This window comes from Homo sapiens, chromosome 3 (assembly GCF_000001405.40).
Source record: "Homo sapiens chromosome 3, GRCh38.p14 Primary Assembly".
Lineage (NCBI taxonomy): Eukaryota > Metazoa > Chordata > Mammalia > Primates > Hominidae > Homo > Homo sapiens.
In genome coordinates, this window is record NC_000003.12 from 63,424,815 (window position 1) to 63,443,221 (window position 18,407).

The 18,407-nt window shown below is 40.1% G+C and overlaps 1 protein-coding gene and 1 long non-coding RNA gene across 4 annotated transcripts in view; one reads left to right on the forward strand and one right to left on the reverse strand.

The window, feature by feature from the left end:
* SYNPR (synaptoporin) overlaps positions 1 to 18,407 on the forward strand; it is a 416,321-nt gene that overhangs the window by 224,211 nt on the left and 173,703 nt on the right. The gene's annotated exons all lie outside the window — the stretch shown is intronic.
* The window catches only part of SYNPR-AS1 (SYNPR antisense RNA 1), a 126,456-nt gene that overhangs the window by 1,219 nt on the left and 106,830 nt on the right, over positions 1 to 18,407 (reverse strand). The window contains exons 3-4 of the long non-coding RNA NR_046677.1: positions 2,619 to 2,769; positions 1,899 to 1,992 (exon numbers count right to left, since the gene is read on the reverse strand). This is a non-coding gene — a long non-coding RNA (SYNPR antisense RNA 1). The remainder of the gene's footprint in view (positions 1 to 1,898; positions 1,993 to 2,618; positions 2,770 to 18,407) is intronic.

The following is an 18,407-nucleotide window of genomic DNA, read 5'->3' on the forward strand; positions in this document are numbered from 1 at the left end:
TAAGTTCAGACCAAAATATCTTCATTACACCACTATTCAGTGAGAGGGAAGGACAGAAAGGAAAAGCTTCAGACAAAGACAGTAATCTTTCCTCAACTAAATTAAGGAAGAGAAAGTACAACCCTTGTGTGTAAATTTTTTTAGCACAATGATCCTTCTTCCTAGCATATGTGCCCAATCCCAATCACATTAGATCCATCCTGTTAGCAGGGAGGAGGGGAAAGTGTGGTCTTCCTGCTGCCCTTACCTCTCTCCATTTTATCTTTAAAATGAAATATTGTGCCATCACAAAAATCCTGTTTTCACAGAACAGTGCATGAGATGGAAAAATGCTCACGATATAAACATCAGGGAGGAAAAGCAGGATTAAACTCTATCTATAGAGTAATTCACATTTTGGGGGGAAATGAGCAAATATTCATGTGCAAAGAGAAAACACTGTAAGGATAAACTCTCCACCCAAAGAGTAGTCAGCTGATTGGTGGTATACAGTAAACTTTATTCTGTATAGTTTTTGTGTTTTTCAGACAATAATAGACATTACTTAAAGAGACTGAAAAGAGATAGGGGAGGTATAGGTTAACTTGTTATTATGGGTATACATGCTACAAATGATTAATGGTAAACAATGATATGAAGGTGGTTTACAGTCCCAGGAGATAACTCCTCATGTAGGAATAAGATTCAAGGTGCTCTTCTCCAATAACAATATTAAGATACCATTTTTGAGCTCTCATTATAAGCACACTTCCAAGCTCTTGGCAGGGACTATTTTCATTGAATTCTTAGGCTCTGGGATCTGCCTGCCTAGGTTCAAATTCAGGCTTCATCCATTACTATCTGTGTGACCTTAGGCAGGTTACTTAATCTCTCTGAACCGCAGTATTCAGATATGTGAAACAGGGATAAAAATAACACTTATTCATGGAATTATTATAAATATTAAATGAACTTATGGAAATAGACTTTTTTTTTTTTTTTTTAGTAAGATGAAGTCTTACTCTGTCACCCAGGCTGGAGTGCAGTGGCACAATCTCGGCTCACTGCAACCTCCGCCTCCCAGGTTCAAGTAATTCTCCTGCCTCAGCCTCCTGAGTAGCTGGGATTACAGGCATGCGCCACCACGCCCAGCTAATTTTTTTTTGCATTTTTAGTAGAAATGGGGTTTCACTATATTGGCCCGGCTGGTCTTGAACTCCTGACCTTGTGATCCACCCGCCTCGACCTCCCAAAGTGCTGGAATTACGGGCATGAGCCACAATGCCCCGCCAGAAATACACTTTTAAAAATGTCCTAGCATATAATAAGTGTTCAACAAAAGTTTGCTATAAGTATGCCCATTATGTGGATGAAGATGATAAGGCTTAGAGAAGCTGAGTGATTTTCCAAGGTTATATGCCTGTAAGTGGGGAAGCATTCAAACCCTTGTCTTCTCAAACGTTATTCTTTTAATCATTGTACCACAAATTACTTTCACTAATTAGGCACATGAAGCTTAAGGCTCTGCAGACATTTGACTTGGGCTGGAACTGTCACCAGTAACCTGCATTCTTTCCCTACTTTATGTCAGCCACAAAGAAAGAATGTCAAATTAGAAAGGCAATCAGGTTTTATTCAGTGGCCAAAGAAGGGGAGCTCATGATCTAAAAGTACCTCTTCCCAGGCAATGGGGGGTATGGGAGTTTTAAGGAGTTGAATGTAGGGGGAGGTATGCAGGCACGTATAGGGTGGAGTTCCAAGTGGTAGGTGCAATTCATGAACATACTTCTCCATACATTGCATGTACACAAAATGGCGGTGATCTTCACTTAGCAGAGGGGATTTTAGTATGATAATGATATGTTAATCATTCAAAAGTAACTAGAGGTCACCTCCTTTGGTCTGCACCAATTTCTCACCAGTCTTGACTTCCTCTGATAGGGGGTCACAAAGTTGCTTTTGGCATCCAGTCCATTTGGTTTCTTCAAGCTGTTGTGCCTATCAATAAAGAGACTAAAAGAAAAAAAAACAGCTAAAGTTTTTCCACTGCAGGGCAGTTCTGGTGACAGAATTTCTTTTTTTGTCTCAGCAAAGAATTTAAGTTGCTTTCATTCAAATTCAACTTCAAAATTAATTTAAAATAATTTTAAAATAACTCTAAAACTATGTCGAGCCTTGTAGTTCTACCAGAATAAATATGCTTCTTGGGTATATCCATACTGACAGCTGCATTTCTTCAAGAAATGACATGACAGAAGAGTGTCCTCCTAAAATTCAAACTTGGAAGACCAACCGGTCTCAAGCTACTTGTTTGAAAGGATGAGTTATATAAAATGGCATGTTCTTTATCTTTAAAAAAAAAAAAAAGTATTACAAAGCCCCAAGGAGACAATAAAATGTAAAAGGATCTGTTACCTTGATTTTATTTACTGCTTTTTTTTTTTTTGAAAGCCAACACTGAGCTATATATTGATATACAAGACAAACCATTTCTTGGCATATTTCAACTTGTCTGAAAGTCAGTTACTTTGGTTACAGCTCAAAGGACAAGTTCTCAGTAAAGAATAAATAATGTATTCACATTAATCATTTCCCCAGTGTATAAAGTATGTATCAACTAGGATGAGAGAGAGACTGACCTTGGGAAGAAAAGTACATACTTAGAACAAGGGTCTCAGCAGATTTCTGTCCTTTGATGAGCTCAGGATAGCTCAGGTAAGCCACATGGAACCACTGCTCAGAAATCCATAGGACAGGGCCCTCACGCCCCAGCTCAGCCACTGGTTGTCTCTGAGGAGACAGAAGCTTCGTATTTAACCCTTCTTGGCCTTTGGTCTCCCTCCACAATGGAGGAGTGGGTGGAAATAAGGCAGTGGTTCTCCAAACTGGTAGATTCTGATTAATCCCCTAGAGGGGAGCTCAGAGCATACAGAGATTCTTGGGCTCAAACCCAGATCTACTGGATCAGAACCTCTGGATATGTGGCTTGAGAACCTGCATATTAAACAAGTTCATTAGCTCTTTCTCATACAGTTCTCTGAGTTCTCACCACATACTCTTGTTTAATAACCACCAGAGTGATGATTTCTGATTTCCAAGGTCCAAGCCAAGTGTACTGTGGCAGAATAATGATTCCTTCAGTGCCTCTCAACTCCAGAAATGGAAACTGAATAAGTCAGTAATTACCTCTAAGCACTAGTTTTTTTTAAAATGTATTTTCTGTCTGCTCATTTAATTTCCTTATCTTTTTTATTGTCCTTATCTTTGAACCAACAATTTCATAGTTGGGAATTAAATGAATTGCAGCGTTGTTTACATGATATCTTCCATTTATTGATTAACTACACTGTGTTCAGACACTAGACTGTTATGTATCATCTTGAGTATTAAAAATGAAATCTCAAAGAGTCATTATTCTCTTTTCACAGATTTTAAAAAGCAGGTGTATTGAGGCTAAGTTGGTCAAAGCCACAGAATTCATGATCAGAAAATTCAGGATTTGAAATCATTCTTAGAAGATCAATAACATGTGCTGTTTATATCACATTATTGCCTCTGTTTAGTAATTGTAGACTAAATATCCCCAACTTGGGGAAATATTAAAATAAATTATTGTATGTTCACTGTATGAAACATAAGATAGCTATTAGAAGCATGATTTACAATATGAATATGACTAGGTCAACTCTATGTATGCATGTTTTATCAACTATTGCTGCATAATAAATCATGTAAAACTCAATGCTTAAAACAGTAGGCGTTTATTATTGCTCATTTGTCTATGGGAAAACAAGTGGTTCTGCTGATCAGCTGGGCTTTTTGGGTGTCAGCATTTGGGTCAGCCAGATACTGACTGGTCTAGGCTAGGACAGACAGCCTTGCTGACATGTCTAGTGGTCAACTGGCTATTGGCTGGAACAACGGGATAATAGATCATGTGTCTCTTCAGTGTCATCCAGCAGGCTAGCCTAGGCTTATTCCCATGATGACTTGGAAAAGTTCCAGGAGATTGGGGATTGCAAGGCAGCTTAAGACCTAGGCTCAGAATGTGCACGATTTCACTTCTGCCGTATGCTGTTGGCCAGAGAAAGATATGAGGTGACTCCAGATTCAAGGAGTGAGAAAATCAACTCTATTTCTTGCATAAGAAAAGCCACAAAGTCACATAGAATGAGTGTGGACACAGGAAAAGGAATAATAGGGTCATTTTGTTCAATCAATATGCTACACACATGAACGAGAACTGGAAGGCATATGGAAAATGCAGAGAACTGATGTGTTGGCAAGTTAGGGCTGTGAAAGATTTTTCTTTTTTCTTTGTATGTTTGTTATTTCATATAGGTGGTTATAATCCTGCCGGTGTAACAAACAATGTTTGAGAGCAAAAAACAGTAAGAGGAGCCAGAGCAAGCATAAGATCAACAACTACATTACTATGCTGAAAGGATTGTATCAATAATTTGCATATCATAAACCAATGTAGCCTTCTTCTCTGTAGAGCATGTAGGTGGGTAACAATGGAAAGAGCCTCAAACTACTAAAGTTAAATAGGTCTCCAAAATATATCCAATGGCTGTGGATCTGAAGTGGAATTTAGTCATGAGATACCCAATTATTCTTAGCACTTCTGCTCACTCTGCGTATTACCAGGACTGGCACCATCTTAGGACTGCAACATTTTAGCCATCTTTGGAATCCCTAGGGAACAATTCTTCCTTAATAGACATGATTTCTGATAGTCAAAGTTTTGTCATTTAAGAACCAAAATTTCAAGTTGTTTTAAAAAAGACTGTAACTATTTTAAATAGAAATTATTAGTTAAATGTATAACTTGTTGACATCCTTGTGTTTTAAAATAGAGTTGATGGAAAACATTTTAACAGTTTTTTGACAACATTGCTCTTTGCCAGAATGCAACGACATCCTCAGAACCTGTGAAGCAGAGCAGGGTTTCTTTGCCCTTATGTAAAATATTCTGAGAATGCCATGCTTTCAAGTTCTTCTTTCTGCTCCTTCATTGTTTTTGTGCTCTCTCTTGTTCCCATGGGGCTCTAAGTGTGCCTTCTTCTGACAGTTTGTTCTGTTTTACTTGGCTTCTTCTAATATGCTGTCAACTTAGAAAAACCAACCTTATTAGGACTATTTGTCAAGGAAGAGGAATTAGGCTCTAGGTAAGGACCAGGGAGCCTCTCATCTGAGTAAGATACATGGTCATTAGTGTATGAAAGGCTTGGTGACATATCCTTCGTCTGATTTTTTTTTCTTGGTTCTTGCCTGTATCAAAACATAGACAAGAGCTAGGTTGTTGGGAATCTGAAACTTTGGCACATTGCCAGATGTGAAGGAAGTACAGATATGCATGACCTGAGTGAATAAATAAAATGCATCCAATGTGGGCTAATTGTACTTAGGACATTAAATATTCCATAACCTTATTTTGTCAAAGGTCAGTTTTTCAAATAAATTAAAGGCTTTTTCAAAGCATTAACACGTCTTTACATTTTATTTTAGGGTATCAGTGAGTTTGTTCATTCCATATTTTCATTCATTCACTCCTACACTGAGAATACACACACACACACACACACACACACACACACACAACCTTATCCTCATGGAAATTGTGTTCTTGTTTGGAAGATAGAAATAGATGTACATAATTGTGAAGTCTTAAGACAAACAGTATAACTGAAACAGATCAGCCAGTGTGGAAGTACGTAAGATGGAGGAAGAAAAGCACCTCCTAGACCTTTGCATCCCTGTAAAATGTGGTTGGTAATATCCAATTAACAGATGTTTTGCTGAGGATTTATTGTGACACAGGGTGAAGTCATATGTACTCAAAAAAGTTTATTATATAGACAATGTGGAAGGCAATCTAAACTAACAGAAAGTATAACACTGTGCTATCTGAGAGACCTAGATTCAGAGCTTATTTTCATCACTTATTTGTTGGATTTTTGCTTAGCTCCATTTTTTTTTTCTTTCTGAAGAATGGGGATAACTTCTACCTTGCAGTGCTGTTGGAAGAATAAAATAAAATGACACAAGTAAAGTGTCACAGGCAGTAGCTGGAAAAGTAAGTGTTCCATGAGTATCAGCTTCTTTCCTCTTTTCCTCTTCACAGAGTGGGTGACAACTGAGCTGGGTTTTGAAGGATGAGTAGGAGTTCACAAACCTAATCATGAATCCCCCACAGGGAAAGTGGCCTTTCAGCAGAGTGAGATATGGGCATTTGCTTCTAAAACTGGAAGATGATTTGTGAAGCTGTTGCTTCCTGGGCAGCAGAGCCACCAACACTTCTCTATTTCCTTATCTGTATTTAATAATGTTGGCTCATTAACCTAGTGGACTTATGAACTCACTGGTGCTACTTCACTAACAAGATATATTTGAGGTCTCATTTCAACCTAATAGTGATGTGGAATTTACCCTGATAGGAAGGACAGAGAAGAAAACACTAGAAATCAATAACATTGAATGACCTAGCAGAATTTTGAACATGTACAAGGGGGAGTGGAATATTTCTTCCACAATCAAGTGCGCAGGGTTTGAAGTTAAATCAGGTGTTACAAATAAGAAGCTGGAGATCTCATTATTTAGATTAGGTCTGTCCATTCATTCAATGGGTATATATTTATCACCTCTCACTTGCAAAATATTGGGTTAAGAGAACAGACAAACATGAAGATGGCTAACTATGACACAGGATGAAATGAGGGTTATACATGAGAAAAAACTAAAAAGGATGGAAGTGGTAATTTATCTGGTTTTTTGAAGGAAAAGTAGAGTCATGGTTGGCCAAGGAGAGAAGCAAAGCATTCTATGTGGAGAGAACAGCATAAACCAAGGGCAGAGGCTTGAAAGCACATGGCTGCAAAGGAAAGAAAAAGAAAGTGTGAACTGTTACACGAATCATCAAGCCCATTAAAAACAAAACCAACAAACGAAAAGAAAAAAAAAATCACTGAGAAGTACAGCCAGAACCAACATAATCTTTCCTTGGAGTCCTCATTAAAAAAAAGTCATAGTTTCCCTTTTCTTTTTTTTTTTTTCTTCCCTGTTTGTGACTTAGACCTTTCCAAAGCCCCTGTATGCATTGCAGCAGGCACTGTTAAGGCCATGCACCTAAACCTGCAGAACTCACCACACAGGCCTTCAGCATTCTGTCTGTAGGCCAGTTCTCTCTAACTGAGGGCTTCAGGCTGTGAAGAGGGATAGACCAGAAAGGCAGGGAATTTGATGCTTGCAGGAGCCAATAAGAGAAAGGAGTTGGAGGATAAATTCACCTGCTTCCCGCACCTCCTATAATACCTCTGAAGCATGTTCACACTATCTTCCAGAGCACCCCAGTGAGGTAGCCCCAGTTGCCTACCACAGGCACCTGCTCATGGATGCATTCTTTATCAAATCCCTTCATTTCCCTGTCTCAATTCCCCACTCTCTTTTCTGGAATCATCTCCCAAATAAACTACTTGCATTTATGTCCTTGTCTCTCAGGAGGACATTCTCGGGGAGAGGCAACCCCAAGACAGCATTGTTTAAGCCTTCTGGTGGTACACAGGGCAGCAGTGTTGATGAACTGACATGGAAAAGATTAGGGATGGTTTAAGGTAAGACAGCAGAATCGAAGCTGATTTTAAGAAGTGGTTCTGGGAGTATTTCCATGTGCTTTTGAACTTTAATTTTTGTAAATTTAATTGTATCTTCAGGAGGATTAAATGAGTTAATTCCTATGAATTGCTTAGGAAAGGGCCTGGTGCATACATTTCAACATTGTCATTGCTCTTATTGTTTTTAGATTAGCCCCTCCTCTTGTTCTGGTGTGTGGCAGCATGCTCCCTGAAAGAGGCAGACCCAGATAAGAAAGAGGTAGGAGAGGGAGAGATGGTCCTGAGGCCTCACTGATCTTGTTTCCACACTGTGGAGCTGATGCCTGCAGGCAGCTTCTCTCACCTTTGGTGAGACTCCCCTTCCTGCTCAGAGCTTGTGTTGAACATGGAACTCACCTTGTGTGACAAGTTATGGTGGCCTTCTTCATGATCATTCAATGTAATCACTAGCTTCATGTGCTGTACAAAGATTCCCTGTCAAGTTCCCTGTGGGAAAAGGGAGCTGGGGGAGTTGGTAATTCCAGATTTCTAAGTACTCTACCCTCCTGGCTTCTGATTCAGGAGAGGTCAGGGTTTGGAACTGATAATCCACGTTCTTTTATAAGCTGCTCGGGTGATTCTGATGGGCAGCCAAATCTGAGAACCACATTGCTATGTGGCTTTGTTCCCCAGGATCCATATCACAGAGTATTGCGTGTTATAACAGAAAGGGTGGAAGCTTTTTCTGAATAGGGTCTAAGGCTGACTTTCCTTTTCTAACTAATGTCAGAACAAGTGGCGCTACAGCCCCTTACAGGGAGTTTTTGTCTCCACACTTTCAGCAAAATGAGAGGAAAAGTGTTGCTCCTAGAGTTGAGATAAGTGACATTCTGGAAATATCAGAATGTCCTGTTCTTCAGACTGACTCTCTTAATTTGTATCATTTAAAGACTTGGGGATGGTGTAAGAAGGAACTAACATTTTAAGGAAGACATTGGTAAGACATTCTATTTTAAAAATAGAGGCACAGCTGAAGAAAGAAAACTGGTTTTTCTCTGCGTGAGAATGAACAGTTCACATGGCATTTTGGACTGTTCTAAACAGGCCTGCAGTAATACATAATCAACTATTGGAGGAAAGATAGTTTTGTCTTATATTTATGGAGGGGACACTGAACACAGAAACTAAGAATAACTGTACTTAGTACTGCACGCTTCGGTTCTCAAAGTACTTTCGCATGAGCTGCTTCGTGGTGGCTTCACCACTGCCCCATCGGATACCAGGGCTGCAGCGCCTCCCCTTGCAGCCCTGAATCCGAGGGTTCGGGAAGGTGTAAATTAGAAATATAAGAAGCCTCACCCAGATAGGAGGGATTTTTTGGTTAATAAAATTGTAGAAATTTTGCCAGCTAAATGGATTACCCTCATATCATAGGGATGCAGAAACACCTCTGGCGTAAGACATACTCATCAAAAGAGAGAGGTTTTTACAAATATTTTATAAGCACTCCAATTAAAATAATGCCCCAGATCCCTTTAGACCAACTCCATTCCTTTGCTGCAGGGCATCATCACCACACACCTCCCTAAGACTGGGGTGGGTCAGGAGCTGAGAGCAGAGTGGGGAGAGTGCTTTCAGATGGAATCTTAAACAAGCAGATCATGACTAGGCTTTTTGGAGCTCCATGAAAACACTCAAATGTTATACACTCTACGTTTCATAAACTACATGGGGAGAAACAGACTTTCATCCTCTTTCCTACCCACGCCTTATTTTATTAAGAGCTGTAATTTGGTCTGGGTTCTGGAGGCATAGTGGTTTAACAGGGTTTTTTTAACTCAATTTGTTGAAAAGGAAAGAAAAACCAGAAAGCCATTTTGTAAGTGTTTGATTCTGAAATGTATCTTGCCTGTAGCTTTAGGAGAGAGAGTACATTTCACTTGTGTCATTGTAATTTCCATCAGCCTCAGCTGTGTATTATTTATATACCTCAGCATTTTTATTCCCATTTTATAGGTGAATAAACAGAGGTTTGGAAAGGCTAAGAGAGTCTCATCAATACACTCAGTTGGCTATGACACCCCCCCTTCATGGGGAAATGATCAGCGAAAAAGTCAAGTACCTCTTGATCAAATTTACTATTCATATCTCAGTGTACTGGGCAAGATTATTGAAAATGGTTTCCATGTTTTTCTTCTTTCACTCTTATTACAGTACTAACAAGATTCTTGTAAAAACTGGACCTCAGGGATTCTTTCTGATATAAAGTCTTAATCCTTAATCATAGCAACAACTATTCATCTTCTGGTTCCATACCAGGCTTTAAGAAATGTGTGTTAGGAACAGCCAAACTCCTAAGCCATCAATTTGCTGATAGAGCTCTCCCTGTTATAAAAAATAATAGAAGGAAAACAAACAGATGTATCTCTGCTATTTTTGACTAGAATTATGAAAATAGGCATCATAAAAGTCATTTATTTTCTCTTCTTTAATAATAAGCAAAGACTTATTTAGTGCCTACTATGAACAATGTAATATTGTGTGCTATGCAGGACGGCAGAAAGAGTGAATCTACTGCTCAGCAGTTTATGGTGGGACCACTTTTAATCCCCTGTACCAGAAGAGTAGATAATTATATCTATCACCAGAAATTATACAACTGAAATACAACATTGTTTTAATCTCTAAACAACTGTCAGGAAGGAAATGCCCATCTCCCACCTTGTATATGCTAAACTTGCGCACATTCGCAAGACTGGGTAATGTGGAGATTTATAACCTGGGCTTTGGAAACAGACAACCCAGGTTCAAGCCTTTGTTCAAATATTTACTATCCAGGCAGACTTTGGCAACTTACTGAACCGCACTAAACCTTATCATTTTCGTTTGTAAAATGATGATAACAATAGATTCTAGTAGATCAGGTTGAATGATAATCAAATGACATAATCCATGAACAGCGCTTAGGCTGATACCCAGAAACAAATATTAGCACCATTATTGGAATTAGAAAGGTCCATGGTAGGAAATCACAACTGCCAAATTTCTCCATTACGTAAGTGGTTCTCCACAGTTTTTCATTTAAGATCTAAAACATTTTGTTCAAATGCAGTCATGTTCAGAAACCTGGGATACAGAGAAAACAGTGGAGTGGGCTGGTTGAAGCAGAGAAGGGATGTGGAACCCTGGTTCCTTTGACTGCCCCTAGCACACCCTCCCATCTTCATGGTGTGCCCTGGAGCATCTCCATGGAATTCCTGGCGTTCGGCTTAAAAAACTAAGCTATTAAATATTATGCCTGTAATTACATTGTAAGCTGAGATGATTTGGTTATTTGAATGTACCATCTATATTCTCACATATACACAAATTTCATCAAAATATTTGATGGTTGTATTTTACATTTTGAACATTGAAAGTCTAGGCCAATATGTTCATATACCTACCTTTATAATTAAGAAATATGTCAGAGTAATTCAGCATTATGTATTCACTCATGTAACAATGTGTATTGAGAATTATTTATATACCAGGCCCGTAAGTTCCTGGCTTGCACAGTAACTCAGAAAGATTCTAAGTTCCTTTCAGCAGGGACCATGTTTACCTGTTTCACCACTGTATCCACAGAGTGATACAGTACATGGCATGTGCATGGCATATAACACATACGCCATAAACAATTGCAGAACTGAAATTTTTAGGTGAATGAATGGTTGCCCTTTTACTTTAGAAGATTAACAACTTTCTCATGGATTTGAGAATTGTTGTTTCCTATTGAGGACGTGAGCCCCCAGGTGAGTTTTTTTTTTTTAATACTTTAAGTTTTAGGGTAGATGTGCACAATGTGCAGGTTTGTTACATATGTATGCATGTGCCAGGTTGGTGTGCTGCACTCATTAACTCATCATTTAACATTAGGTATATCTCCTAATGCTATCCCTTCCCCCTCCCCCCACCCCACAACAGGCCCCAGTATGTGACGTTCCCCTTCCTGTGTCCATGTGTTCTCATTGTTCAATTCCCACCTATGAGTGAGAACATGTGGTGTTTGGTTTTTTGTCCTTGCGATAGTTTGCTAAGAATGATGGTTTTAGCTGTGATATGTAAAACCTGAGTCGCCTTGTCTCCTGAGTCAAAGTCTTTTTGGGATATTTAGGGAGTTTCTAAAGGGACTCAGCCCCTCCATTAGCTTGAAATATTTAGGACAGAAATGAAAGCACTTAATGATCTGGAATTATTGCCTGAGATCCAGGGCCTGTGGATGGACATCCAGGAATCCATGGACAGCCCTCCAGCAAGAATCAAAAACAAGCAACTCTTCATGGACCCAATCCATAGACTGAGTCTCTGAATACTCAGAAATGCCAGTAGTTTCAACAAATCTTTATTTGCCTCAAGCCATGTGCCTCAATCGGATTTCCATACTCCCTGATATTCCAGCGGGGGAAGACTGTTAAATCTTTCTCTACAGGGTATGGGCTTTCCTTTTCCTTTCCTTTGTTTCTTTTTGAGACTGAGTCTTGCTCTGTTGCCCGGGCTGAAGTGCAGTGGCACAATCTCAGCTCACTGCAACCTCCGCCTCCCGGGTTCAAGCAATTCTCCTGCCTCAGCCTCCTGAGTAGCTGGGATTACAGGCACCTGCCACCACGCCCGGCTAATTTTTGTATTTTTAGTAGAGATGGGGTTTCATCATGTTAGCCAGGCTGGTCTCAAACTCCTGACCTCAAGTTATCTGCCCACCTCGGCCTCCCAGAGTGCTGGGATTAGACATGAGCCACCGTGCCTGGCCCGTTTTCTTTCTAAAACATGAACAGCTCTTTCCTCTAGAGACAAAATAAAACAGCATGTAGTATTATCTCTATCAAACAACCTGGCAAAGGGTATCACTCTCATCCTTATTATTGTTAGATGTTAAATGCTTGGTATGCACTTAACACCTTGTATGCATTCGTTTACAAGCGCCCAATTTTATCGGTTAGGGCAAGTGACAAGACCACACAAGTAGTAATATACAGAGCTGGAACTAGAATCCACCTGTTTGTGTTAGTCGGGTTTCAGGCAGGAAATAGCTGGCACACTCACACAGAGTGATTGAGGGGAGTTTTTTGAAGGGGCAAATTGAAAAGAGGTAAACAAGGTTTAAGCAAAAAAGAAAAGGGAAGGAAGGGAGGAGAGACAGAGAAAGAAAGAAGAGTGAGAGAGAGAGAGAAAGAAAGAAGAAAGGAAAAAGGGAAGGAAGAAAGGAAGTGAAGGGAGGTAGGGAGGGAGGGAGGGAGAGAAAGAAAGAAAAAGAAGGAAAGAAAGAAGAAAGAGAAAGAAGCTGTAAGTATGGAGAGGGCCACTTCACAGCACCTGTGGCCTTCGCTAGAGGAATGTAGCCAACTTCAGAACCCATCACGGGGACTAAGGGAATAAATACCCTGACCTCAGTCTCCTCTCACCCTCTAATTACCTGGCAGTATTTCTTATTATTAGCACCTCCCATTAGGATGCCTCAAAGAAAGGGAGCTTATTGATGGGGTCCATTAGTTCAGCCTGCTGGGACACAGATTAGGCAAGAAAGTGACTCTAGAGGGACAAACAAAAGCTCTCCAGCACAATGTCTGCCTAAAGGGGAGCATGCTTAGCCACATATATTCTGTCTCCAAATAATTCTGTTTATCCCTTATTCAGCAAATAGTCATTGCTTGGCCGCTCTGTGCTGGGCACTTTGCTTTGGGCTGAGGATACAGAGATAGTAAGATATTGTGTCTTTGAAGAGCTTAGACTCACGGTCTTCAGAAAATATGTCTTGCACATTTTTACCTGCTATTTTAACTACCATTTTCTCTCATTTTATCTCCCAAGCATGACTACATTTCCATCCAAAAATCCTAATTTTCTCAATCTTCTTCCACTATATTCCTTAGCTTTTCTTGCATCCACAAACTTTTCCCTCTACTTTCAGCTTCAGTGTAGAAATTTTTTAATAAAATTATGTTTTATTGTCATATAGATGAGTGCTTGCTATGTTGCCTAGGCTGGTCTCGAACTCCCGGCCTTGCCTACCTTATGCTCCAGTACCACAGGCCTGAGCTACTGTACCTCTCAGCTTCAGTTTAGAATTCTTTCAGACAGATTTGAAGCCTACTGAGGAAAGCTAATGATCTAATAAATCTTCAAGTGATATTAATATTATTTTTATCTCGTTAGTATTTGAAAAAGAATAGAGACAGTGTTGGAGAAAACAACTTTCTCTTACAAGGAAAATAAAAGATAAGAGGTCTAGAAAGTTCTGCTCTGATTCTATATACCTGCTCACATCACAATACATTGCATTTTACCCATGCTAGGAGCTGTGCTCAGTCAGAGAAAGGAAGGCACCATTAAAGATTTCAAGGTTGTTCCATAAGTGAATTGGATGTAAGTGCTCTCACTGCTATAGCTTGAAAGAGCTGAAATTGTTCCTGAAGCAAAATGGAAGAGGCTTGGCTAACTCTCTTGGTCATTTATTAGTATGGCCAAAGTAGCCTTATCTTTGATTGCCTCCTTTCTCCTACTGCAATGAAGAAATCCTCTGGCTCTGGATTTTCCTCTCTGTGTTTGCTAAATGCTTAGAAAGCTAGGCCTCCCACTGGCCAGCAGACAGGCCTGAAAGGACCCCTTTTGAGAGGCCAGATGTTTAGAAATAGAAGCTATAAGGCAAAGGAACTGTTGCATTTACCAGAAGGTGTGTCCACCAAAGGGGAGAGAAGCTTTTCCATTCAGAGGAAAAAAAAATTCTTTTGAAGTTGTCTGAAGGCCATTGCTCAACTGAAAGATCACAGTTGAAGCTCTGACCATATTAGAAATTAGCATTGCTAATGAGGTTTTTAGAGAATCACAGATTATTTTAATCTACTTAACCTTCTCTATAAATACTTGACTTAGAAAACATTGTACTTCTATTTCTGATAATCTAATAATGGATAAATGTTATTTTAAAGGCAGTAGCAACAATGTGAATATCATTTTTCAAACAAGAACTATCAAATATTGGCATATCACTTTATTTTTGTCAGTTCCAATTCTATGATAGAGAGTGGTAGCCGACTGTCTGAGCTATCTGATAAATTGGAAGGTTAGGACAGTCTAAGTGGCTAGCTGACAAGATTATTTCTCTAATGACAAATATATGGGCAAGTATCAAAAAATCAGCTACTGTATGTGGGCCTAGCTAAGCAAAACCCTGGGAACCCAAGCTTCTAAAAAAGCAACTGATCAATATAGTTTACAAAAGGAGCTTTCCACCATCTTTTACATGCCTTCCAATTAAATCAATATGACACTGAAATTTGCAACCCTTCCAGAATGTTCTTTGAATGAAGAGGTAAAAATAATCTGTATCTGCTATGAATATGAATGAATCAATTGCCCTTATTCATCTGTTCTGTATTTCAAGGCTAACCTCCTTTGAAAAAATTAGGTTTCTTCACCACCATCTCAAACCTAAATTGTTCTCAAGTTGATTCACTGATTTCATCATTCATTCATTTATCCACCAAATCTTTATTGAACACCTACTATGTGGCAGGTACTCTCTGAAACACCAAGGATATGGTATTAAGCAAAACAAACAAGTTTCCTGCTTTTGTGGACGTCTTAGTAAATGGAGATAGTCAATAATAAATGAACAAATAAATAAGCAAGAAGGTATCAGGCAATAAAGTGCAAAAACTAAAAAGAGGAATTACTGGAGAAAGTGAAAGATGTTTTTAGGTTAGGTGGTTGGGGAAGAAAGACCCTCTAAGAAACAGAAAGTAGAACTAACAACTGAGTGGCAAAGGAAGAGAGGGCAGGAAAAGATCTGAGGAAAGAATGTTCCAAGCAGGCAGAATAGCTAGCGCAAAGGCATGGAAGGTGAGTGTGGCTGAAGAGTAGGAAAGGAGAGGGTTGAAATTAAATAAAACAAAAAGATAGATGAGAGGTAGACTGCATAACACTTTAAATGCATGGGAAAGGGTTTGGGTTTTACTTACTGTAAACTTACTGGACAACTATTGAACTTTTCTCAGATGAGTGATATGATCTAATTTATGCTTTAAATGGCTCAACATGGGTAATAGAGATTTCTAGGGGTAAGAGTGAAAGCAGTGAGACCTAAAGGGAGCCTGTTGCAGTGGTCCACAGGGAGGTGACAGAAGGGTGGTAGCAGGGGAGACTTAGAAAATGTTAATGCTCTATCTGGAAAAAAATACGAGGCAGAAAGAGCTAACCCAACCAGCAGATTAGAATCTGCCTATTAGCCTTAGAACCTTATTTAGTGAAAGTTGACCCAGAAAGCCCTTTAGAGATAATTCAGTAGAAACCCTTCAATTTAAACTTGAGAAAAACAGAGACGTGGACAAATTCTGGGACACAGCCAGGGTCACAGAGCAAACCGCTAGCAAACCCAAGACTGAGCCTCATACCTCCTATCTTCCCAAATGTTAAAGTGCCCAAGGCCATACAGAAACCAGCAGGGCCTGAGCGTGGATTTCATGGGCTCTTTCTACACCAGCAAGTTCCAATCTCTGGTGCAAATCTGCATAATGGGGACAGCCGAGAAGTTACTGCAGGGTCCATGCATCCAAATGTGGATTTGTCATACCCTGTACACTGAATAAACAAAAGTATAAGTGCCATCACGTTGCATCCAAAGCAGAGTGGTTAATAGCTTAGACAATGGCATACAATTAGGCTCAAATTTTAGCTTTACCAGGTATTGACTCTGTACTTTCAGATAAGTTACTTAACTCTTTGGGTCTTGGTTTTTTCACCTATACCCTGGAATAAAAATTGTAACTCGTAGTTTTGTAAGGCTCAAATAAAATGATATACCAAAAACACCCACATAGAATAGTATCTGGCAAGGAGTAAATATTCAAGAAATCTTCACTATTATTATGTAGAAGACAGAACTTTTTTCCTTTTACTTGCAATGGGACTCTTAATATTCAGAGCCAATGAGAATTACTCACTGGGCTCCGTGAAGAAACAATTAAGTATGGTTCTACCCTACAGGTGCATTGCTGGAAACTGCTGCCTCTTTGACCCTACTCTGACTCTGCCCCTTATCAGCCACCTGGAGGAACTGTGGCCTTCAGCACAGAGACACTATTCTTTCAGTCAATCCTTCATTTATTTATTCTGTAAATGTTTACTGAGTGCTCACTTAAATGCCGGGTGATTCTAAGGCTTTTTTTCCCTGCTTCAGATGTGTTCACTTGCTTAATTTACTCCCCTGAGTAACTTCTCTCATTGAAGTGCAGAGATTTGTCAATAAGCAGGTGAGGGGTGGCCACAGGGGAGTGGGGAGGAAAAGGTTCCTATCAGAATTTCAAAGGGGCCATGGGGCATGTACAGTTTGAAGAATTGGTAAGCACCCCAAAAGCTCAGGCATAGGCAACAAGCGGATCGAAAGAGATGGAGGAGAGAGGGAGCTGGACTCCCTGAGCCCAGTTTGCAGGTGTGTAGTGTAGGTGAAAGCACTGCCTTGCCCGTTGTTCATTTCTTCCCCACACCTTCCCACTCACAGCTCTATGAGGCATAAGTGTAGCCATTTTACAAAGGGGAAACCAAGGCTCAGGCGCAGGCCACATGACTAGTAAGTGGGAGACCAGGACTAGAACCCAAGTTGCCTGACTCCTCGTTATGGTTTTTTGGTTGGTTGGTTTGGTCCCCCAACCTCCCCCTATCCACCAAGTTGTTACTGTGTGTATAAGAAAAGGAAGAAAGGGAGTAAGAGAGATGATGGTGGTGGCTATGATATGGTAGTGATAGTGTGTGTGTGTGTGTGTGTGTGCACGCATGAAAGAGAGAGAGAGAAGGAGACAGAGATACAAAGAGACAGAGATAGGAAGGAAAGCGAGAGAGAGAGAGACAGAGAGAGGGACCTCAAAAAAAGACTTTGGACAACTCCAAATTAACAACAAATTAATACCTATAAAAAATGTGGCCAGCCTATGTGCATTTCAACATTCCCGCACCGAGTGGGGACCCAAAGTAGGGGGCGGGAAGGAGAGGCACACAGACTTCCTCTCCCTGTGCTGCGGTATCTGCCTTGGGGAAACATTGTCCACGATGCCAGTGTGAGAACATGTCACCTGTGGCAGCCTCTCCAAGAATTTGATACAAATGCCCCCAACACACATTGCCTCAAGGTGCTATGATTTCGGCCCTTCGAAGTAGTCGAGCTGAACTCCTTCCTACAGAGGTTTATTTGAAGAAGAAAGCAGATCCATGTCGCACTTAAGCCTCTGAAACCATTTTAATTTTGAGGTTTTGCAGGAGACGTCTTTAAGTAACACTCCTGTGACGAGTGAGCAACCAAGTTGTAATCTGTCCCTTCTACAGTTGCCAGAGCCTTAAAAGCCTGTCTTCCAGTACATCACCTTAATGATTATTTATGGACAGTGTACGAGTTTCCCAAATGGGGATTATGCATAACAGCTATGCATTTACATTAAAATGAGGGCAATTTATTTAACAAACATAACAACATTTACTTAATCTATGCAAATCTATTCGTAAGATTTTATAAAACCACCATTTTTCCCCATACCCTTAAAACACAAAATTCTGGCTTTAAAAAAATCTCCTAGTTTGTTTTTAAGCACTGTGCTTGCAGGAGGAGGGGGCTGGCAGAGTAAAGGGGAGATGGTGCCTCTGTTGGTGATGCAGCCTGCTCGTGCAAAGCAGTCCTGCACTTCCAGTTGTGAGCCAAGAGCCAAGTGTGGGAGCTCACCATGGTGGCAGCCACCTCCCCACCAAGCAGGCAGCGTTCACCAGAGGGGAGTATCAGGTTCCTGTACTCAGCTGTGGGTTGTCACTGTCTAA